This window comes from Homo sapiens, chromosome 16 (genome assembly GCF_000001405.40).
Source record: "Homo sapiens chromosome 16, GRCh38.p14 Primary Assembly".
NCBI classification, from domain to species: domain Eukaryota; kingdom Metazoa; phylum Chordata; class Mammalia; order Primates; family Hominidae; genus Homo; species Homo sapiens.
In genome coordinates this window covers 50,590,418-50,614,160 of record NC_000016.10, presented here as the reverse complement: position 1 = coordinate 50,614,160, position 23,743 = coordinate 50,590,418, and the positions used below count along the sequence as shown (strand labels likewise).

General features: G+C 53.3%; 1 protein-coding gene and 1 long non-coding RNA gene across 2 annotated transcripts in view, besides 4 other annotated features; one reads left to right on the top strand and one right to left on the bottom strand.

The window, feature by feature from the left end:
- Positions 1-23,743, bottom strand: part of NKD1 (NKD inhibitor of Wnt signaling pathway 1) — a 100,854-nt gene that overhangs the window by 35,089 nt on the left and 42,022 nt on the right. Inside the window, exon 4 of the mRNA NM_033119.5 lies at positions 5,801-5,867. Coding sequence (NP_149110.1) covers positions 5,801-5,867 — 67 coding nt within the window. The remainder of the gene's footprint in view (positions 1-5,800; positions 5,868-23,743) is intronic.
- NKD1-AS1 (NKD1 antisense RNA 1) lies at positions 511-11,549 on the top strand. The gene is made up of 3 exons (XR_007065197.1): positions 511-570; positions 5,711-6,919; positions 11,122-11,549. It is a non-coding gene; the product is annotated as an NKD1 antisense RNA 1 (long non-coding RNA).
- Positions 3,292-4,257: an enhancer, noted in NCBI's record as "OCT4-NANOG-H3K4me1 hESC enhancer chr16:50643815-50644780 (GRCh37/hg19 assembly coordinates)". NCBI's record gives its function as "activates a minimal SCP1, AML or CMV promoter by ChIP-STARR-seq in naive H9 embryonic stem cells {active_cell/tissue: H9 hESC(naive)}" and the evidence as "EXISTENCE:reporter gene assay evidence [ECO:0000049][PMID:30033119]".
- Positions 6,892-7,668: an enhancer, noted in NCBI's record as "H3K4me1 hESC enhancer chr16:50640404-50641180 (GRCh37/hg19 assembly coordinates)". NCBI's record gives its function as "activates a minimal SCP1, AML or CMV promoter by ChIP-STARR-seq in naive H9 embryonic stem cells {active_cell/tissue: H9 hESC(naive)}" and the evidence as "EXISTENCE:reporter gene assay evidence [ECO:0000049][PMID:30033119]".
- Positions 10,801-11,509: an enhancer, noted in NCBI's record as "H3K27ac-H3K4me1 hESC enhancer chr16:50636563-50637271 (GRCh37/hg19 assembly coordinates)". NCBI's record gives its function as "activates a minimal SCP1, AML or CMV promoter by ChIP-STARR-seq in primed H9 embryonic stem cells {active_cell/tissue: H9 hESC(primed)}" and the evidence as "EXISTENCE:reporter gene assay evidence [ECO:0000049][PMID:30033119]".
- Positions 15,681-16,181: an enhancer, noted in NCBI's record as "H3K4me1 hESC enhancer chr16:50631891-50632391 (GRCh37/hg19 assembly coordinates)". NCBI's record gives its function as "activates a minimal SCP1, AML or CMV promoter by ChIP-STARR-seq in naive H9 embryonic stem cells {active_cell/tissue: H9 hESC(naive)}" and the evidence as "EXISTENCE:reporter gene assay evidence [ECO:0000049][PMID:30033119]".

The following is a 23,743-nucleotide window of genomic DNA, read 5'->3' as shown; positions in this document are numbered from 1 at the left end:
TTCACTCACCCAGGGCAGTCCCTCTAGGGTGATTTCCAGCTTTTTCACCTGTGGGTGTCTGCCCCTTCCTGAGACCAGAAATGCCACCAGGGACTTCTTCTCCACCATCCTGCCTCCCAGCTGCATTTTACTGCCACTAGATTTTGCTTATGGACCAATTGTAACTGAGGGGAAACAAAAAAGGGGGAAAAGCGGGTAGGGGAGGAAATCCTTCTCAACAAATAACATTCTGGCCTTTTTTTCCTCATCAGAGCATAAGGCTGGTGGCCACTCGGCTTTGACATCTGAACAGGATTGAGACGAAACATCTGTTCAGGGAGGGAGGGGGAAGCCCCGGGAGAGAAGGGGAAAGGGGAGAAAAAGCCTTCTGTGGGCTAAAAATATCACGTCCCTTCCACTCTCCCCCGCCCGCCCCCACCCAAGTTAAAACATGTGATGAAATTCGGCTTTTACAATCTAACCCCGAGCTACTTGAAACTATTAAAGCCTCTCCGGTATCTGACACAAGTCAGAATTTCCACTGTTCCAGCTGAGCTTTTATGAGGAGCAGACTTGAGAGAAACTGCCAAGGTAACAAAGTCCGCTTGTTCTCTGTCACCGCTGCAACTCAGCTTCTGGGGGGACTGTAGGGGAGTGGAGAGTCAGGGCCGCTGACACCCCCCGACAGGACAGGCTCTGAACTGAGGGAGAGGAGCCGGCGGGGCATGGGCACCTGCCCCTCCATCTGGGGGTCCCTGCTGCCTTCCCATGAACTCCTCTTCCTCCCAGCCTTCCTGGGAAGCCACCGCCAGCCCTGTGTATTGAGGAGCCTTGCCCGAGAGTCCCGGGCAATGTCCGTGGCTACTTCCTGAGAAGTCTTGACTCGCTCTCTCTCTCTGTTTCTTGCCCAACTGCTCCTTGAACCCCAAGCTCCAATCACCAGGTATCCCACGGCCTCCTCGGTACCTCTCCTTGGATGTTAAATGGGCATCTTGAACCCAACTGGTCCAAAAACGGGAGGCTTGATGGTCACCCGCCAAAACCTCCACCTCAGAAGTGACACCGCCAAATCCTTAGTTCCTGAAACCAAAAGTCTAAGATGCATCCCTGATCTCTCTCGTTCCCTCAACCCCCTTCTCACCAGCTCCAACCTCCAGCCCCATGGACCTCTCCCCAGCCCCAAGCTCCCAGGCTAGGCCAGCACCATCTCCTCTCGCCTGCGACCCTGCAGTCACCTCCTGGTTTCATTGCCCTCTTCCTCCCTGCCCATGGGCAGTCCCTCCCAGAAGCCAGAATTAACTTCTTAAAACAGAGGTCAGAATCCAGCAGTCACCCACCCAACCATCTGGGCAGAACCACGCAACCTAAGGGCGTGGTCCCACACTTGCCGACCACCCCACTCTCATTCCTGATGCCACATCGGCCTCCTTTTTGTTCTTCCCCAAACACCAAGTTCCCTCCACTCTGGGGTTCTGCTCACTCATAGCTGCTCTCCCCCTACATTCTTCCATGGCTGGCTCCTTCCTGGCATCTGCATCTCAGCTGAAACATCACCTTCTCAGAAAAGCCTCCTCACTCTACCTCTCCCTGGGTTTTACGTCTTAGCAGAGAACCACTACTAGAAACTTCCATGCTCCTTCGCAGATTTATGTATTCATCCCTGCCTCCCTCCTGTGAATGTCGTGACTGCTGGGCCTGCCTACCTTGCTCGTGCCTGTGAACCCAGGGCCCAGCAGAGCCCCTAGCTGCAGCAAATGCCCAGCACATACTGAATGGTGAGGAGTGAGGGGCCAGATTCTGTTCTCAGTCTGCTGTGTGACCCTGGACAGGTCACTTCCCTCTCTGGGCTTCAGTTTTCCAACTACAGATGAAAGGAAGTACAGGCCTCCCAAGTTCCTTTGCCCAACATCTGACCCCTGGGAGCCTGGACAGACTGGCCCAGGCCCCAACACAGGTACACAGGTCCTGCCTGAGAGGCCGGAGGGAGGGGTCACCTGCTTTCAGTGAGGCAGAGGGAGAGGTCACCTGCTTTCAGTGACTACAGGGTATTGACTTTCCTTCTTCAGTGAGTGTTTATTTATTGAGCACATACAGCATGCCAGACCCTACTCCAGGCACCAGGAGTACGGGGAGGCCTTTGGAGATTCTAACAGGATTAAAGAAGCTTTGCAAAGAGGTCCTCTTTGATCTGGGCTAGGTAAATGATTATAAACACGGGCTGACACCTCTTCAAGAAAACTGAACCCAGGAAACAAGAATCATGGCAGCTCAAGTGTGCTGGGCACTTACTCTGTACCAGGGCCACCCTTGCGACCTACATCCATCACCTCATTGTCTTCACAATAACCCTGGCAAAGAAGTGCTACAAGGAACCCAGTGAGGAAGTTGAGCCACAGGGAAGTGACTCACCCAAGGTCACACAGTGAGTGTGGGTAAGCCAGGCTGGAATGGGGTCTGAGCTGCGAATTCACAGGAAGTCAGAATCAAGGGAGGAGAGATGAGGAAGGCAAAGTTAGGGACCATTGCAGAGCTGAACAGGCCCCGAGCTCCCCGAGTGCTGCTCAGCCCCCACCAGGCCTCAGTCTTAACACTGCTCCCTGCTGGGCAGAACCACCAACTCCAGGCACATCCACCCTTGGGCTGAGGAAGCAGAGACCACCCCACGGGCTGCCACATGCGCACGCCAGGCCAGTGGGGAGAGGGCAGCAGGGCCAAAGCAAGGCCTGCCCTGGAAGCTGGGAGGCCTGGGCCTGGTCCCGAGGAGGAGGGGCTGCCTGACTTCAGTGGCTCTGAGCATCTCCTTTAGGGAAGCTGCAGAGCAGCCTTCCTAAAGATGCCGGAGAGTGGAGAAATAGAAACCAGGCACTTGAGGATGCGGAGAGACAACGAGCAAAGGCCCAGAGATGAGACACAGAGATAGCCAAGAAGCTGGGCGGGGGCAGCGTTCACCAGGTGAGAGGCAGGGGGGACCTGGAGAGAGGGAGATGGGAGAGGGGGATGAAGCAGTGGCTGCAGCACCCTCAGACACAGTGACTCCTGGAGGCCATGCAGGGGAACGTGGCCTGGCCACCCATTCTCCCCGTGGGGCCCAAGCCGCAGGCTGCGACTACCTGGAGTCCTGCCCAGCTGTGGGGGCAGGGAGGCTGGGTGTGCGCTGAAGGTGAGCATGGGGTCACCCCTCCCTGGTCCTCAGACCTCAGCTGGGTCAGCTGAGGAGGGGTCCCTCTCCCCTTCTCCCCACGAAAGCCTCACCTCACCAGCCCTGCCACGCCCAGCCAGCTCTCAGAGCTTGAGACTTTTGATGTTTACTTTGTTCTTTCCCCAGTTCAAAAGGAGCTCTGCAGCCCTGGCCCACCAAGCCCAGCCTTAATCTCCCATCCCTCCCGCTCCCAGCTGGCCAGTTAAGGCGGTTAAGATGCTGGATTAGGGCCGGCTTTACATAACAACGCGGGAGCTAAAGCCATCCTCTCCTGGGATGGCTAAAAGACTTCTTTTTATCTTCACGCCTCAGATGGCCTTTTTTCTCTCTTAAACAGCTCTCCAGCCCGCCAAGAGGCAATGAACTTGGCCAACAGGAAGACAAAGAAGAGATTCAGGACTCGGCTTGTTCTCCCTTAGTCAGTAGCACAGAGGGACCCCTCAGTCCCAGGTCCAGAGCAGGCAGCTGGTTTTCTGTGGCCAGAACTCAGTAGCACCTGCTCTCACCAGACCTGGCCACGCGGTGGCCTACCATCCACACCATATCCCCCACCCTGGGGTGGGAGGCCTCGGGCCACAGGACCAAGGGTGCCAGAGGACCACAGATGGTCACTGGGCCCAGGGTCCCTCATGGGGTCTTAAGGGCCACACGGACAGGTCCAGATGCCCACCCGACTCAAACCAGAGCAGCTCCACTCCTACTGCCTTATTTACGGTTTTCACCTTTAAATACTGACATTAGTTTTTAATTTCATAAGGAATACATAATTGTGGTTTTTTGATTTTTTAAAAAATATAGTTTTTGAATTATTGATAATAGAGACAGGGTCTCACTATGTTGCCCAGGCTGGTCTTGAACTCATGAGCTCAAGCGATCCTCCAGCCTCAGCTTCCCAAAGTGCTGAGATTATAGGTTTGAGCCACCATGCCCAACTATGTTCTTATAAAAGTTTAACCATGAAATGCAGATAACACAGACTTAAGTCTCCTCCCATGTTTGGAAAGAGCTATGGTTATCATCTGTCTAGGCCTCTATCCACACAGTCATATGCATATGTGGTACCCTAAGAAACTCCTGAGGATGGTCTGGTGCCTTTTTTTCACATAAAAGATACCAGACTGTATGCACACACAAAGCTTTCTGTTCATGGGACTCCTCCCCCTTGATCTGGGGCCTGCTTACATTTGAGTAAAGTTTGCTAGATACCTGGCTCTCCAGCCTGCCTCCAACTTCTAGGCAACGGAGTGAGTATCTTCAAACAGTGCTTCTCTGAGTGCAGTGTTCATGCAAGCCACCTGGGGAGCTTGTTAAAATGCAGATCGGATTCAGCAGGCCTGGGCTGGAGCTGAGATTCTATATTTATAACAGCTCTCAGGCCAGATGTGGCCACGGTCCTCAGGTCTGGCCGATGCTCCCCTTGAGAACTTCCCAGAACTGTCTGCTCTCCTCTTGTGGCCCTTCAGACCCCTGCAGGGCTAGATCCCCCTCCGCAGACCCTTGCACCATGGCCCCCCAGCTCTCCAGCCAGCTGTCTGCCCTGGTCTCAGCAGAGAGGTCCTTCCTTACTCTTATAAGGCAGCCCCCCATTTGGTGATTTCTTTCCCTGTTTCTGAATTTAAAATCTCCCATTCAGGAAACACTCTGCTTCACGCTGTCATCCGTTCCTGGCACCAACTCTGGGAGCCAAGCAGGGCAAAGGCCCTTGTTCCCATTCTATAGATGTGGAAGCTGAGGCTCAGAAAGGTAGGGTGGCCTGCCCAAAGTCAAACCAGCACACCAGCAGCCAGCAGACCCTCTACGCTTAAGCGTCCTGATTCTCTCTACAACACGGCACTTCACCATGAAGAAAGCAAGCAGTGGCCAGGTGCAGTGGCTCACGCCTGTAACCCCAGCACTTTGGGAGGCCAAGGTGGGAAGGTCACTCGAGGCCAGAAGTTCAAGACCAGTCTGGACAACATAGTAAGACCCCATCTCTACAGAAAAATTTAAAAATTAGCTTGGCATGGTGGCATGCAACTGTAGTCCTAGCTACTTGAGAGGCTGAGGTGAGAGGATCACTTGAGCCCAGGTCGAGGCTGCAGTGAGCTACAATTACCTACTGCACTCCAGCCTGGGTGACAGAGCAAGACCCCATCTTAAGAAAGGAAGAAGGACAACAGAGGAGAGAGGTGAAAGGCTGGCTGTGTGTGTGTGTGCACACTCATGCACCAAGAGAGTGACATGATGGAGGAAACAGAATAGGCACTGTGTGTAATGCTTACTCCATGCCCAACACTGCCTGATCACACTTCACACATCACTCTGAGCAGCTACTCTTATTATCCCCAGAGGAGCAGCAGAGTTTCAACAACCTGTCCGAGATCCCCCAGCTAATCCGGTGCAGGGCCAGGACATGGACCTAGGTGACCGGACCCCCACCTGGGCTTGGACCTATGAAGTACCACACCTGTCTCTTACTCCTCTCCTCCATCCCACCCTCTAGTCCACCCCCACCCAGAGTCACAAGGTCCCTGTTGTGCCCTCCATCTGCAGATTTTCTGGAGTACACAGGGCACACGGCCAGCTGAACACCCGCTTCCCCCACTCGCTGCTGCTGGGAAGAGAGCAATGGACTCCGAATACCTTCCAGCCGAAAGTCGTCCTCCTCTTCCTCGCTGAGCGTGTCTCTCAACACGTCGCCCACGAGCTCCTACAAGAAGACAGAGCAGAGGCATTGAGCAGGGGTTGGGGGAGCCCAGTGCTGGGACGTTAAAAGCAGTGCCATGAGGACCCTGGGCTGATTCTTCTGATTGGAATTCAGGTCAACTGAGGCAGATCCTATTGCACCTGAAAAGTTAAGTGCCAAGGTGGGTCCCTCCTGCCCTTAACATAAACCCACACGCATCAGCACAACATTCAGGCCACCACAGGCTATGGCTCCACTGGGTCTTCCATCATGCCTCCCACATTTCACCAACACACATGCCTTCCGGAAACCAGCCTGATTCCTTGCACACACCCTGCCTGTTCCCCACCAGTGAGTTAAGGATATCTGGGATCTCATCCCAACCAACCTGACCAGGAGATGTCAAGTTAGCGAGGGGAGTGTTGCTGGTCCACAGGCTGGGAAATTTCTAGGATGTCAACAAAGGCCCCATCTGTCTGACCCACCCTAGCAGGATAACTCCAAATATGGAAGAAGCTAGACCATACCTTGTCAAACTGTCTTCTGTATTTATTGGTATTCTGCCAGAAGAGTTCTATGATCAAAGAAGATTCTTTTAAACAAAGTTAAACAAGATCTCTTACAGCAGGACTTATCAGGACTTTTCCTATGGTTCTAAACACTGAATCTCCAAGTGCTGGCATATTTTGCATTCTCCAAACTTATTTAGACCATGGAGCTTCGTTTTTCAAAAGTATCACATGATACGCGTGTCCCAAGAAACCCACTTTAGGAAATACTCCTGTTATGGGAGGACAGACAAGGGTTTGGGGGATGATGATGCTATGGTAGCGGTTCTCAAAACACAAAATGACAAGCAATAAAAAAGCCCAAACTCAGCAGCTGTCACCAACTTCTCTTTGTGAAAATAAAAGAGAAAAAAAACAAAAACAAAAACAAAACCCAACCCTCTCCTTAGGGGAAAAAAAATTCTACACCTCAGATGATGCTTAAAAAAAAACCAGTCCTCTTCTTGATGAACAAAAGAAAAAACACGGCTTTGTATTGCTGATCTCATCAACTGGACACAGCTGGAGGTAAGCCTCTTGCTTTTTTTTGTTTTTTGTTTTAAAGACAAACAGCTAACATTTTGTGGCTGTTCTCTTTCTTCTTTCAAATCTTTCTAGGGCATTACACACTCTTTCTTAAAAGCTGTTAAAATGTGGCCATTCAGACTCCGGTGTCCCATTTACTTCAAAACCAGGCTACTTTATTCCTCGAGTCAGGATGGCTTCCTCTCCTCCTCCACCAATTATTATAATCATCGAACATATCCTGGGCTTGTAAACTGGCTGTTTGTGTTAACAGAGCCCGAGTTGACAGGGGAGCTGGGAGACGATGACAGGAAAGGGATGCACACAGGTGGCATCATTAGATGGCTGGGACGCCCCAGCAGCCAATTGAAGCCCATCTTTCATGCAGAAGAGAGACGGGTGCCACCGCCCCCTGAAAGGCTGGTAGGCAGAGCTTCCCCGAGGGAACAGGCAACAGTCTTCAAGAGAATCTGCGCACCTCTTCATGCTGAGGTCTTCTGCAGAGCGGGGCTCTGCGCCTGCCACCCTGACTGCACTGCAGCCGGGTGACAGCATCAATGAGACGTCTGAGTACTCGTGTCTTTTTACTGGCACACTTGGAAGAGTTTAAAGACTCCAGACATCGCCACCAACAAGGCAGCCGTGTGGGACCCTATGACAATGACCGCATGTGCTCAAGGCACCCCAGTCACCACCTAATGACAGCTTCAGCACTCCCTGCTCGGAGAACCAAGCTCTCTGACACACTCAGAAAGCAGAGTTCTGGCAAGTTCTGGCATAGGCCTCTCACCACTCAACAGTACCCTGCTCTGGAGAACACTGGAAAGCTCCCCGGAGCCATGGTTCATGGACGCACTGTACTGTGCCAATGCTCAACTTTGCAAAAATTCATCTCCCCAGCCAGGCGCAGTGGCTCACGCCTGTAATCCTAGCACTTCGGGAGGCCGAGGCAGGTGGATCACGAGGTCAGGCAACCTGGCCAACATAATGAAACCCCATCTCTGCTAAAAATACAAAAAATTAGCCAGGCGTAGTGGCAGGTGACTGTAATCCCAACTACTTGGGGGGCTGAGGCAGAAGAATCGCTTGAAACTGGGAGGTGGAGGCTGTGGTGAGCTGAGATTGCGCCACTGCACTCCAGCCCAGGTGACAGTGTGAGACTCTGTCTCAAAAAAAAAAAAAAAAATTCATCTCCCCCACTGAGCCACACGGCCCAGGGTCTGTGGCGTGCAGCGTGCATGTTCCTAGAGCTTTGAGTCTCTAGGCCAGAAGCCACGCGGGATGTTGAGCCAAACACAGAATCACATGCTGGCTGTACCGCCTGCCTCGCCTTTGGACCTCAGCCTACTTATTTGTAAAATGGGCACAGTCATCAACCATAATAATAATCAAACAGCTGACACTTACTGTGCATTTTCCATGTGTCAGGCACGATGCTAGGCACTTTATAGTCATTCCTCAGTACCTGTGGGCGACTGGTTCCAAAACTCCCTGAGGCTATCAAAATCTGTAGATGCTCAAGTCCCTTATATAAATGGTGTAGTATTTGCATATAAACTACAAACATCCTGCCCTATACTTTAAATCACCTCTAGATTACTTACAATACCTAACACAGTGTAAATGCTATGGAGATGGTTGTTAAACTGTATTGCTTAGGGAATAAGGACAAGAAAAGTCTGTATGTGTTCAGTACGGATGCTTTTTTGTTTCCAAATATTTTCTATCTATGGTTGGCTGAATCAACAAATACATAGCCCATGGATAAGGAGGGCCAACTGTGTAAGCGTGTATTTATTAGCCCCCTGAATCATCACAACAGCCCTGGTCTTTCCATCTTTCAAGAAATAGATGCTTATTAAAATGATTTGCAAATTGTAAAGCGAGAGGTATAATCATTACTGTTATTTTCTACAAAGAAAGTGGCCTCAACCCTGAAGTACTGTATGAGACCAGAAACAGTTCTAATGACAGTCACCCGTCATCTACCAAGTGCTCACAGTGTACGAGGTGCTGACCAATGGGATCTTCACGGGAGACTCTGGAGAATGGCCTCCCCACAGCCCTGCATCTAAGTGGCTAGGAGGCTCCAAGAGGCTGTGAGACCCCCTTTGGATCACCTGCCAGCAAGGGGCGGAGCGGGGACTTGAGCCAGCTCCTTCAGATGCCTCAGCCCGGGCTCCTACTCATGCAACCAGGGCTCCTGTGGGCATGGGAGCAGAGGTGGTCAGGAGTCCTGGCACCTACCAGGGACCAAGGATCACACCTAAAGGAGTGCAAGAAAAATAGCCCAGCTGGCAGCTCTAGTGGGTAAGTGGTCAAGGGTTCCCATCTGCCTAGCAGGACTCAAAGCTCCCCTGCTCCTCCCCACAACTTGGGGACTTGGCCCTGCCCTCAAGCTGAGCCCTGGCTGGCAGCCCCACATGTCAGGGCCAGGGCCAGGCCCTTGGCACCATCCTTCGGGAAGGCAGGTGTTGCCAGGAGACATATTCAGAACTTCGACGGCGCCACTGGAAGCCCCTGTGCAGAGGGCATGGAACTGGAGGGGTCAGACCTTGGTTCAAATCCCAGCTCTGCTTCACACATGCTGCACCACCTTGGGGAAGGAACTTTATCTCTAGTGCACCTCAGTCTCCCCATTCGTAAACAGGGGCGACAGCAATAAGGATATCTGGAGGGGGTGGGGCTGTGAGGAGTGAGGAAGTCATTGCATGTGAAGCGCTTAGCAGGGCAGCTGAAAGCATGAGTGGGGTTCATTAGGTCAGTAGTTACTGTTTATTACTCCTGCTATTGTTATTGTATGGTGACCAGAACACTGCTGGGACAAGCCGAGAGACTCGCCAGACCCCAGGTGCCCTCACAGACACCTGGAAACATGCCCCATCCTGCCCAGAACACTTGTTTTCAGAGGACTGCATTTCACCCTTGTGTCAATCCTTTCAGGTATTCCAAAGGACTGCCATGATTACCCTGTTTTACAGATGAGATGAGTGAGGCACAGAGAGGTTAAGTGACTTGCCCAAGGTCACACAGCTAGTAAGTGCCAGAGCCTGAGTCCATACCCTTCACCACTGCACCTGGGAAACCCACATGTGGGGCTTGGCTGCAGTGGTGACCCTCCTCCACTTATTTTGTCTACTTAGTTGTCACTCTGTGATCCCAGGCCCCTCCCCTCTGGCCTCCAGGACAGTGGGCCTTAGCCTCTGCTGCAAGTTCTGATCAAAGACCTTCCTGGGTCTCCAGGGCCTCTGCTCCACCTGACCTGGGGCTGGGCTGCTCCTGTCTAATGGCCTGGATTGGTGGCCCCTCAGGCCACATGCCCAGATGTGCTACCTTCCTAAGTCCCAGTGGTGCCCCATCAGCTGGCCCTGGGAGCCCCTCCCCTGCTCTACACTGGGCCCCAGGAAGAGAGGCCAGCTCCTCCGGGCACAGGGTGTGCAGCCAGCACCAGTCCAGAGCCCAGAATCCAGGCACGATACCTTATAAGGCCTCCGGGGATGGGAAAACCACATCAAAGCAGCCTTGGGGAGCGAGCTGGAGTTTGGTTGGGGTTTTTCCTCTGTCTTTGAGACTTCCTACTTCTGAATGTAACATCTTCCCCCACTGCCTGCCCCAGCAGTGCTTTGTCAATCTTTCTGTTCTCTAAGAGCTAACAGATGTTGGTGCCACGGGTTTCAAAGCAAACTCCCGGTGCCCACAGAACACGGCACAACTTACAGATTCCAAGAATGTACAGGGTTGGGATGTGCCGGGGAAAGAGGAGGGGGGCAGGGCCTAGGCCACCCTGTAACCCTTAGATCCGAGCAGCCTACCCTGGAGCTGCCCCAGGAAATTCCTGGCGAGTTCTCTCTTCCCAGCACACTGAGGCTGCAGCCTGGCCAGGCGCTCTCAAGGCCTTGCTGAGAGCAAGCTCTTGCCTTCCTCTTGTCCCCTCTCGGGAGGCAGGACAGGGATGCTCCACTCCTCAGCGTCCAGATCGACCTGGCAGTCGGGACGCCCAGGCTCCGGGCCCAGTCCCACCCTCAGCAGCCGAGTGGCAGCAGACACATTACTTAATTTCTCCGGCCTCCATTTTCCCCTTCTGTAAAATGAGGATTTTGATGTCAAAGAGCAGTCAATGAGAAAACATAGACAACATGCCTAGGATGGTGTCTGATGCGAAGCTGGAAGCACTAACATCAGTTTCTCTCCTCTTCCCAACACAGGCTCGGGAACATTCTCACATTCCATCCTAATGCCTGGCGAGCCAGTGCCTCAATGTCCACCCTGGGACGATGCTCACATGTGTGTCCAGGAGGCACATTCGAATCCAGTGATGTTTAGGGCAATGCACTTCCTGTTAACCTGCAGTCAGGAACACCCTGGATGCCCTCAAAGGCATGTGGGCTGGATCTCTGCAGAGGAGTGCCACACGAGAGGGACGCCAACAGAACAAGACAGACCTGCAGATCTCCCGGGCAGAGGGCCAGACCACAGGACAGGCAAAGGAGCCCTCACAGGAAGACACGCAGACTGTGCTGCTACCTGTACACAGAGGAGAGCACCAAACCCATGTATGCCATGAGATTGTCCCCGTGTGGGTGAACATGCGGAAGACGACAGCCACGGTGACTTCCAGAGAGGGGAGGGCAGACAGAGGCAGAGGGTGTGGGGGGGGTCATAAACCCCAGCCTTATCAGAAGTGTTCTCATGTTTAACTGATGAGTATATTACTTGGGTAATTAAAACCCAATTTAGTAAAACTGCAGATAATAACCCACTTTACAAAAGAAAACAAAAGCTGGGAGATTAAGTAACAAGTCCAAGGTTTCATGGAAAGCAACAGAGTCAGGTAGCCCCCTCCAGGCCTCGGCCCCCTCGTCTCTAGAATAGGGAGGCCAGACAAGATGATGCTCACAGTTCCCTGGAGCACAGACCTTCTGGGGTTCCAGCCCGCATCCCATCAATGGGCAGATCTCTTCTCTAGGGCTATACCCAGGAAACAAGAGGAAGACCGGGGCTGTCCATTTTCTGGGCCTCAAGTTCTATGTCTCTCACATATACCTCTCCCCTGCGGACCTGTTATCTCTGCCCACACAGCCTCCCTCTCATTCCCAGGCCCCCAGGGCTTTCCTGGGCCTCCAGAGCCCACTCTGCCTACAAGCTCGGCAGGCTGAAAGTGCTAGGAAATTACCCAGCCCATCCCAACACTATACAACATGCAGGCCAGTGATACAAAAATAATCCTCATCAAAGGGCAGAGAGATGGAAAGAGGGCATGGCAGGCAGCCTTTTGAGAGGGCTCCTGGAGGCCTGGACCCAGGGATGGGAGAGGCTGGGGGCATCCTCCTCCCCAGGAGAGGAAAACAGACCCGCCCCTCCTTGCCTGGGTCATCAGAACCCAGGCCTCAACATGCTGCTTCCAAAGATAAATGGCATCTCTTTCCAAAGGAGCCAAAATATAGGGCAGAGTCCTCAGCCACTCCCCTGAAGACCCCTGAGCCCACCACAGCCACAGGTCACCTGGTGGTGGCTCCTGGCTCTGCCCACCAGGCCTGTCCCCTGGATGCAGCCAAGCCAATTGGAACCCTCTCCTGGGACCCCTCCCTCGGGAGCTGACGGGGACGAGCTCTTCTCTGGTGCCAAGGCTGCATCTCATCTCATCGGCAGCTTCTCAGAGACAGCTCACTCAAGGAGGCAGCTCACACAGAGACAGAGGCCAGTACTGGGACCAGCCTCAGGCCCAGCCTTCTCCAGAAGGAGGCTGCCTGTGGGCAGGACTCTGGGTCTGTTTTGCCCTCAAACAGCGCCTGGTACCACGCAGGCACTCGAAAAAGTGTCTGTTCGGTGAACCCTGGGGCAGGCCCACCCTAACCCGCCCTTCCTACCGATGGGACGGTCACAGAAGCCACTAAACGGCCTTTGCTGCTTCCAGCAATTCAGGTTGGGTTTCCGTTACTTGCAACTAAAAGCTCTGACTCCCACAGCTCCCAGAAGCAATCCACAGCCTCCTCAAAGCTAAATCCAGGATTCCCAGGCAAGCTTGGGAGCCAGTGGAGCGAGCTCCTGCTGCCCTGCTGTATCGCGGGCCCCTGCAGGAGCTTCACCCGCAGACTCCACTCAGAGCTGCGGAGGCTGAGGCGAGAGGGAAGACAGGCTCCTGGGGCTGCACACACAGACCAGGCCTTTTGTATTTGGCCTGCAAGGACCAGGCCTTCAAGACGCCAAAGACATTGAGCAGCAATTAAAATTCCTCAGATTTCTCCTGGACTATTTTTATCTGCCCAAGATGCAATCGACATGCTCCTAACTGTAGATCCCCGGCCTTCAGCTCCCCACATCCTGGGGACCCCAGCCTGAGCCTGCTTCCTGGGCTTGAGAGTTTGCACAGGGAAGGTGGACAGCCAGCAAGGAGTGGGACGGCAGGGCTGGCAGGAAGGACTTCAGACCCTGGGCCTGACTCTGAAACCACCATACTCCCTTCCTCCAGCCCTCAGGCCTGAGACCCGACAGGGTACTCATAATCCCTAGAGACGGGTTGCCCAATCCTGAACCTCAGCCAGCCTCAGTCACCAAAGGGCCAGCAAAGGCCACTTCCTGGGCTGTCACACCAGCAAGTCGCAGGCATCCACATGCCATGGTCGCGCCTTCCTCCAGAGCCATGTCTCTGGGCTACCATGAGTACTTAAATGCTTCTCTTTAAATTGGCTCTCTCTCTCTTTTTAACCTAGTCTTGCCATAAAGCAATAAGATCAATAAAATCACAGGTGTTGGGGGCCTTGGTTTGGTTTGGTTTGGTTCTTAGATGGGGGTCTCACTCTGTCCCCCAGGATGGAGTGCAGTCGCATGATCACAGCTCACTGCAGCCTCCAACTCCTGGGCTCAAGTGACTCTCCTGAGTATCTGCGACTCCCACCGACACAGGCCACCGTACCCAGCTAATTTTTTAAAACTTTTTGTAGAGACACAGTCTCGCTATGTTGTCCAGGTTAGGTGTTTTTTGTTGTTTGTTTGTTTGTTTGTTTTGTTTTGTTTTTTTAAGGACAATTCATATTGAACAAATTCAGAATCATTAAAATATAAGACACCCACCACTTGCCCCTCCAACCCCTCAATAGGACATCAACCATTGAACCATGCTTTCGGAAAGACAGGATTTAAAGAACCTACCCCCTGGCCCCCACAGTGGTCAGGCTGGTTCCAATAAGTAGGAAGACGGTGGGTGGGGGAGAGACACCAGACAAGGTGGGCACCAGGAGATGCCACCAACCTTCCCACCTGGCCACCCTCCTTGAAGACTCATGGCTTCAGTGTGATTTCTGAGCATGGAGAAAAAATGACTAATGGGGGAAAAAAAACCCAAAACACCAACACCAACAACAGAAAAGAGTAAATCTTGACATCACCCAGAATGCTCCCTGATCTCAAACTGCTGGCATTTCAGAGCCCTTAAGAGATGAACCAATGTAGGGCCAATTGCCCAGAGCCAGGCAGGGCACGGGGTGGGGAGACTTTGCTGTTTGTCTGACCACAATTTTCCGACTAGACAGTGTTCAAAGGCATTTCTACAGTGGAAACTGGGATCTGATGGGCATGTTGGGGCCTGGGGGTAACTGAGGTCATGAATATAAAGGACTCAGTGATGATGATAACCAGTCTTAGTCAGTGTGCGACATCTGCCAAGTGTTCCATGAAGCACGTTAGGGGCATCACCGACCAAGTGCTCCCAGCAGCCCTAGAAGCTGGGCTCTGCGATGACCCCCACTTTGGCCATGAGGAAACTGAGGCTTAGAGAGGTTAAGTGACTCACTCGAGTTGTCAGTCAGGTCTGGGTTTGAGCCTTGGTTCTTCTGCTTTTATACTGTGTGACTTTGTACAAATGAGTCTACCTGACTATGCCTCAGTTTCCCCAGCTGAAAGTGGAAATGACAGCCCCCACCTGGCAGGGCAGTTGTGAGAGGAATGGAGAGTATGTGTACAGTGCTTGGTGAGTGGCCTGGCTCAAATAGCGTGTCCCAAGTCACAGCTGTCACCTCCTTCTCCCTCCGGGCCCTGGTCTTTCATTCTCTTCCCTCACATGCTCTCTTCTGCCCTGGTTTTTGTCAGGGATGCCACAGCGGATCAAAGCCCAGCCCAGCACTGCCTCATCACCCCAGAAGGCCTCAGGCGACCCCACTTCTGGCCGGCTGCAGAGAGCAGAGAGAGTGCACTCAGCGCTTGTCGGAGTCTCTGCCCTCCCACCCACTGCTGACCACACACACACGGCCTTCCCACCCACCACTGACCTCTCTAAGCCACTGCCCACCACACCACTGACCCCACCACACCACTGATCCTGCCCCACCACTGCCCACCACACCACTGACCCCACCACACCACTGATCCTGCCCCACCACTGCCCGCCACACCACTGAACATTGCACCACTGACTCTACCATGCCACTGCACATCGCACCACTGATCCTGCCACACCACTGCCCACCACACCACTGGCCCCACCATGCCACCACCTGCCACACTGCTGACTAGCCCAGCCACTGGCCCGCCACGCCACACAGCCGAGTGCTGATAAGAGGAGAGGCCCGAGGGCCTGTGGCGTGCCTCTGATCACCAAGCAGCTGGGGCGGCATCTGCCAGCAGTTCCTGGCCCTGGGACAGGCCCCCGGTCTGCTGCCAGGGTCTAGCACGTGTGACCTGCCGACAGGGTGGCCCTGAGCCAGGCTGCTTATGACAGGCAGCACTGTCATCTGGCCCCAAGGAAGGGTGCCCCATAGCCATAGGCCACCTCACTGTGGGGAAAGGATGTGTGCTCCTGCCCAGGGAAGGGGCTTGGGGACCCAAGAAGCCTGGAATTTCTTGCTCAGCCTCAGGAATGAAGGGCTTGAGCTTCTTGCTTTTCTGAACCTAAACGAAACAGATGAAGTAAGAGCCTCTTGATTCCTATACCCTGAGGCCTCATTTTACGGACAGGACAAGAGTGTCCATGAGCACAGGTGTGCGCGCACACACACACACACACACACACACACACACACAGAGTCCACCCATGCGGCCCTGCAGTGCCCTGGAGAAACCATCTTGCAGAAGCCATGCTCCTACCCACTCTGATCCCATCAGCCCTGGGCCTCCCACTCTCATCTCCTGGCCCCTTCTGTCCCCTTGTCCCCAAAATAGCTCTAAGAAACTTGTCACCATCCCTCTCACAGGCCAGACCGCCCACTTGGAGCCTCCCAGCCCTGGACCATCCTGTCCCCTTCACCCGGAGCGCCCTCCTCCCTCTACTGCCAGTGAAGTCTTTTGCCTCCTCCGGAGCCACTGTGGATTTCGACTTCCCACCATCCCCAACCACCAGATGAGGACATAATCAAGAGGGTCACACTGGCGGCTTCCAGAGGACTCGGTTCATTCTGAAACTCAGCAGTTCGCATGCTGCCAGGGCTGTGATCGAAAGCCTCAGTGGCCACATCTATAAAATGAGGGCACCAATCCCACCCGCCTGCCACGCAGCAGTGCACGATGATCACACCAAAGGTGGGTGTGGAAAAGCCGAGAAGGTGAGAGGGGCCATTTGGGAATGAGGGCCCAGGGTCCACAGTGCTGTCAGATAGGAAGCTGCTGAGGAGCAGCCTAGTCCGCTCCTGTGCTGTTGATAAACAAAAAGGTGCGTTTTCCAGAATGTTTCTGGAAGGCCACGCTCCACTTCAGAAATGGGAACTGGGGCGCTGTCTCCTTCAGCTGTCTGATTTTCTGGGTGATTTGAATTTTATATTTATATTCTCTCTTTTTAAACCAAGAACATTCAACCCTTTTATACTGAAAAAAATAATAATAACTTTTTCCAAAGCGGTTTTTCCATTAAAACAAATGATGTGGCTCTCCCTCCTGTTTGATGTCACCAAGTTGCTCAACAGGCACCTCAAACTTCATGTGTCCAAACCGGACGCCTGGCGGCCCCCAAACCTGTCCTCCCCAGTGCCTTCCCTGTGTACACAGGGCAGCTCCCTGCTTCCTTCACTCTGGCCAGACACCCCAGAGGCTTCCGCACATCCTGTTGGCTCTCCCTCAAAACACACCCTGAAACCAATCATTGCCACCTCCTCCACTTCTGCCACGCATTCCAGGCCACAGTCCTCTTGAATAATGACAACCATTTTCTATTCTCTGCCCTCGTCGCCACCCCAACCCCTACCCAATTCCCCAAAGTCCCACCAAAGCCCATCAAAGCCCCACCCAATTTGTCTGCCCTATCACCTCCCTCACCCCTTCTGTTCCTCCCCATTCACCCGCTCGCCCACAGCCACACAGGCGTCCTTGCTGTTTCTCCAACAGGTTCAGCTCATTCCCCATTCAGGGTCTTCACACACGCTGTTCCCTCTACCCGGAAGACTCTTCCTCTGGATAACCCCTCCCTCCTGCCCCTCCTTCAGGTTTGGGTTCATTATCACCTTGTCACCTAGGTGAGGTCTTCCCAAATCTCTTTATTTAAAACTGCAGCCCCCTCTCCCACAATCCCTTATTTATCTCTGGGGCATTCCCACCATCTGACACATTATGTATCAACGCCTGACGGCGGAGGCACTCGACCAGCGTGTGTTGAACCACCAAATGCAGCTCTGTATTTACTGACTCAGAAAAACACGCCCTGCATTTTCTTGAAAGAAAAAAGTAGTTGCCAAACAGCAGAGAAAATGTGATTACATTTCCTAACATTATCTGCACGTGTTTCCACGCGCTGTAGTAGGAGGCACACGTCTGCAGAGACGGGCACCAAAATGCTCCCAGAAATGGTGCCCGGTGCTGGATTCCAGGTCACCCAATGGTCTTCCATGAACACACATGATTACTTCTACAATCAGAAATTACAGCAAAGTGTTTTGAAGGAAAAAAAAAATGCTAAAACATACAAAAATGGGCACCCAAGTTGGTTCTAGAAAGACTCACACTCAGAAGTCTGCTAAAAGGGTCTTGGCCCTAGCAGTGGCAAGACCTACAGCATTCTGGTGAAATGGGTGGCCTCCTGATTCCAGCTGGGAGGGAAGGTGGAGACTCCAGACTTTGGTCCACCCAGACCCCATTGCTCCCTTCCACAGCCACACAGTGCACCCAGGCCACAAAGAGGCCACAGCCACACCCATGCCTGCTTCTCACTGCTCTCACTGTACATGCATAGGAAGCCAGGGGCTGTGTAATGCAGACAGCGCTTTGATTCCAGAAATGGCATGAGACCAGCTGAGCATGCAAGCCAGGCTGTCATCGGGGGCTCAGGGGGAGCAGGGTGGCACTCTCTCCTGCCCATCCCAACCAGCACACACCAAATTTTGCTGTTGCCATTCTCAGGCAACCAAAGATCTCAAAGCAAAAAGTATGGGGATCTAGAAGGCCACTGCCTGCCCCTGCAGGTCCAGTCAACAGCCCACATCAGGGGCCCGTGTCACCACAGGGTGGTCACCTGGGAAGCCAGTGAGGTCTGGGAGAGTCCGTATGGTCAGCATGGAAGGTTTGAGGCCACTCTTGGGCCTGGGGATAAGAAGGTCTTCATGGCAGTGACTCCACCCATCACACCTGTACCTCACCCATCACACTTGTACCTCACCCAACAACCCCAGGAGGTCCACGTGTGAGCTATTGCTGTTTTTACAGATGGGGAGACTTAGAGTCATAGGGGAGGCAAGAGAGTGGTAAGGCTGGGAGAAACGGAGCACTCCCGAGAGGAAGGCCAGGGCTCTCAGGACATGCCCCTGGGTGTTCCTGGATCTGGAAGAGAGGCCTCTGCTGTCTGAGCCCCACATTTCCACCAGGACCACCAGCATCAGGCCAGGCCAGAGCCTTTGTTCAGAGGTTCTGACCTGCAAGAAGGACCCAGCCCCTCTGAGAATGTCCCCCTAGAAAAATGCCATGCAAAGAAAATTGCACATTGAATTTCAGGGGGTTCATGAACCTCCCCACTACAAGTCCTTTTGTGAATTTTAGTTTAGGAACCTCTGAGAGTCCAGATGGGGAAACTAAGGGCTCAAAAAGGGACAGGACTTACCCAGGGTCACAAAGCCAAAGAGGAGCAGAGCCAGGATCCGAATATAGAGGACCCACAGCTGGTAGCAAAGAACCAGCGAGCGATGAGTTCCCTCGGGGAGCAGAGGCACAGGACAAGAGCCCCCACACACCCTGACTGCCAAGGGCTGGAGCACCCAGACCAACAAGCCCACCTTTGGACGGTTTCTCCACAAGCACTGTCTCAGGCAACCAAACATTTCAAAGGAAAACGTAGTGGGTCCAGGCATGGGGGCCCAGGACGTTTGGGGAATGCTGCGTGGACTTCTCAAGCCTTTCCAGACCACCTGTAGCAGGCCTCCCACGAGGTGCTCACAGATCAGGGGTCTCCTTACTTCTTTAGACCCTTTGATAGCAGTCCACCTCCCCAGGGCACCGTGTGCACGTGCAGATCCCCCCGGGTCTGTGTGCCCCCCTCCCTTCCCTATGTGCTCCCCACCAGCAGCTCACACCTGGGGGCCCTCTTCAGAGGCCTGCCCTAGGGCTATGTCTGCAGACTCAGAGAACTGCCGTGTCCCCACCCCAGGTGGCCCTGAGCCTGGTGCAGGAGAATGAAAGCCCATACCTCCTGTCACGACAAACTCAGAAGCATAATTTATACCCCAGAGCTCCCCCAGAGGGTCAGACTGAAGCCAAGACTTTGCCTGAAATGGCACCTGTGCTTGGCTTCTTCCTCTTGTCTGTCCTGCTTCCTCCACTGCCTCACTGGCCTGCCCTGCCCTGGGACAGTGTCCTGAGTGAATCACTAGCACGTGACCCTCACCTCAGGCTCTGTTTCTGCAGTCCCTGACCTCACAGGGCTCTCCCCTGAACTACGCGGGTAGTTGGAGGAATCCTGACCCACTTGGTGAATTCACAGGGAGTAGGCAGGCCAATGAATTGCAAGCTGGTTGGTCTCAGACAAAGCAGGTGGAACATCAGTCCAGCCCAGAAAGGCAATGGTCACACTGTGGCCAATCCAGCTACGTGAGAGGCCAGGGACCCTGATGCCAGGGCTCAGGCCTGAGAGGCAGAAAAATGGAAATGGACATTTTCTTCCCACCCCACCCCACCCCATGCCAGCCCCACTTCAGGAAACCCCCTCCCCATCTTTCAGAGCCTAATTCAAGTGCAAGAAGCTTGTTCTAAGCACCTTGTGCCCCAGGAACCTCTCTCATTCAGCCAGCGCGTTTCAGGCTGGCTTCACAGACTGTAAGTTTGGGAGGAAGCCGAGGCTGTAGGAAGCTCTTTGTCCCTCATCTGGCTCCTGCAGTGGGCATCTGAAATTCAGAAGCCCCTGGTCTCCAGCGCCCCCTTCCTCCTTCTTCTGGGAACACTTTGATTTTCCCTGGCGGCTTTCTAGACCTCACAAATAAAAACATAGGACATTCAGTTAAGTTTGAATATCAGATAACAGATCACTGTGTAGCATAAGTATGTCCCATGTAGTATTTGGGATAGACTTAAAACACAAAAAAATGAAGTGCTATTTATCTGAAATTCAAATTTAACTGTGTGTCCTATATTTTATCTGGAAACCCTGCCCCTCCATTCCTCTCACCCACATGGTGTGGGCAGGCTGATTTCTCCCCGTAACCACCAGGGAGGGCACATGACCCAGGCCTGCCCAGTAAGAGCTTCGCACCACGCCAGCCATGGGGACTGGTCAGGGCCGGGCACACAACCCAAGCTATGCCAAGGAGAGGCAACCCCAGGACATCTTCTTTCTCTCTGTTGACTTTGGTGAGATGTGAGCTGAGAGCCTGACCCTACTGAGAGCACTTTACCACCTCACAGAGAAATTCTAGCTATGAAAAAAGCTAATACCCAGGAAAACAGAGCCACGAGGGGATGCAAAAGGGGTCCTGACATCATTTGAGCCCCTGGATCAAATGGTGCCTGAAGCTAGTACCTCCCCTACATTTTTCAATGACGTGGACCACAAAATCTCCCCTTTTGGCTTAAGCCAGGGTGAGCTTATTCTCCTCATAAGCCAGTGAGTGAGTCCTGCTCACTCGCTCCTCCTCACCCTTGCCACCTGGGCATGAGGCTGGGCAGAGTCTATGCTCAGAGAACATGTTTAATTTCACTAAGGAGGATGGTGTGGGGCGATGGGAGAGCCTGAGCTCTCCAGTCAAGCAGGCACAGTTCCCGGCCCCACTCGGTTCCATCCTCGTTCCAAGTCCTTGCACAACAAACTCTCCATGAGCCTTGGTTTCCCTATTTGTGAGATAAACATAGGTACTTATACCTGGACTGCCCATATAATGCTAGTGCCTTAACCAGGACACTTTAGAGAGACAAAGGGAGTGCTGTTCATACCCAGGTTGGGAGAGACTGGAACTGCCCTGGGTAAAGGGACCAGGGATGCCGTCCCTACAACTGACCCTGCCTGTCTCCACCCGCTTCTGCACTAGCCCTCCCCCACAGCCCATGCCTTCAATTCCGCCCCCTCCCCCTCCCCATCACCACCCTCTGTGCAGGATGCTCCCCTACTCGCTGCTTCTCGCTGCCTCCTAATTCATTCTTCCAGTCTCAGAGAAGCCATCCCTGGAGCCCCGGGCTCTGTGCGGGCCCCACTCTGCATCCTCCTTGCAGCCTTTGGCGCTCTGTGAGACAACTACTTGTGGCTTGCAGGCTCCCCAGCCGGCTAAACTCGTTGAGGACAGGGTCCGTACATTTCTCCCTCATTACTGAAGGCCCTTACAGAGCTGGCATGGTGCCTGGAAAACGACACATAAAATAGCAGACAAAAAAGGACACCGCTAACCCTCTCTTCCTCCTCTCTGCAGGCTCTGTATTTTCTCTGTGCATCGATAAAACCATCCTGGCTGCGATGCCAGGCAGGGACAAGTGAAACTATGAATCATGGAGTGGGGAGGGCATGGGGCAGGGCTAGGACCCACCCCCAGTGGGCCCAGGACATGCTGGCAATGTTCTCAGAGCCAGTGACTTGGGGACAGTGGCCTTAGAAGGCCCCGCCCAGTCCAGCAGCCCCCAGGCGGCGGCAGCAGCAACGCGCTGGCCTTGGGACAGCTTTCATTGATCCAAGGCCAATGTGGACTGGACCTGAGCCGGCTGCCTATTCCAGCATCCAGCCCTGGCCCCTGCTCAAAACACAGGCCTGGCGTCTCCCTGTGGCCTTAGCCAGCTCTGTCCTCAGCGGCAGCCAAGTCACTGCCCAGAATGCAAATGGGGCAGGTGCAATGGGCTTCTCCAATCTGAGACCAAGGCCATCACATCCCACACACAGCCCAGGTTGTTCCACACACAAGCAGACAGGGTCCCCTTGGGTTGCTTGGCCCCCGCCCACACAGCTTTCCTGCCTATCCCCGGGCAGCCACCCCACCTATTTCTTGGTTCAGCCAGGCATATAGCCTGAGGTCAATTACCTGGAGAACGCATTGCCACACCAGCTCCCTGGCTCGCACCCCAGCCCAGGTGGCGCACGCTCATTTTATTTTCACAGGGCCCCTTCCTGGCTCCACAGCCTTCACTGGCTCCGTGCTTCAATCAACTCAAAACCCTCTGAAGTCTTGCTGTAGCTTCTCAGTCCAGCTCACTGGGAAACAAATGGTTATGGTAGGGAAAAATGCTAGCCTGGGAGCTGGGTGGTCTGCCTCAGTTTCCTCATCTGTACAAAAAGAGGAAGCATGGCAAGAGGGTATCTCCAAAGACTTTACTGCTACAATAGAGCATGACTCCACAGGCTCAGGAGAGGGCCAATTCAGCCAGGCCCCAGGCTCCGTTCCTCCTCTGCTGTCTTCAGGCCACCCAGAAGGGCCACTGCCCACTTGCAAAGCCAATGATCCGTCCTCAGTACCGTCTGTCTCAGGAGGCAAAAGTATTTTGAGGAGAAGGAAAGAAAAGTGTGGATGTGAATGCTTCCCTCAACTCTGCATCAACCCAGCACCCAACCCTCCCAGCGCCAGACACCCTGCCCACAGGGGAGCCACAGTGGCTACAGATGGAGAGAGAAGCGCAGCTCACAGGCTGAGGAACAAACGGCAAATATCTACCTGCATGGAACACCAGGAAGGACCCCATCAGCCTCAGCCTAACAGTCAGTACCTCAAAAAAGAATTATCAGGTTAATTTAAAAAGAGGCTTCATTCTGGCCGGGCACAGTGACTCACACCTGTAATACCAGCACTTTGGGAGGCTGAGGCAGGCAGATGACTTGAGGTCAGGAGTTCGAGACCAGCCTGGCCAACAAGGTTAAACTCCGTCTCTACTGAAAAAAAAAAATAGCTGGGCATGGTGGCAGGCACCTGTAATCCCAGCTACCAGCTACTCAGGAAGCTGAGGCAGAAGAATCACTTGAACCTTGGAGGTGGAGGTTGCAGTGAGCCGAGATTGTGCCACTGCACTCCAGCCTGGGCAACAAAGTGAGACTCCATCTCAACAACAACAACAACAAAAAAAAGGCTTAATGCTAATGGCCACAAACTCATAATGGCAGTAAAGGAGCAAACGGCATTGCCAGGTGGTGTGGGGCCCAGACCATGCCCCCACATGGCCTGAGGCTTGGGTCCTGGCTCTGTCACCTACAGGTTGTGTGATGCTGGGCAAACTAATAAACTTCTTTGTACCTTAGTTTCCTCCTCTGTATGATGGGCAAATAATAATATCTGCCTTGTGGAGTTGCTGGGAGCATTAAATTAGCTCACATTTGTAAAGCGCTTGGAAAACAATACCTAGTTCCTTAGAAGCACCATATAAATGCTTGTTAAATAAATAAAAATGAAGGTGAATATAAAGTACATAAAGACACACTTGTAATGTAAAAGAAGGATGACCATCTCAAGAAAAAGAAGGATG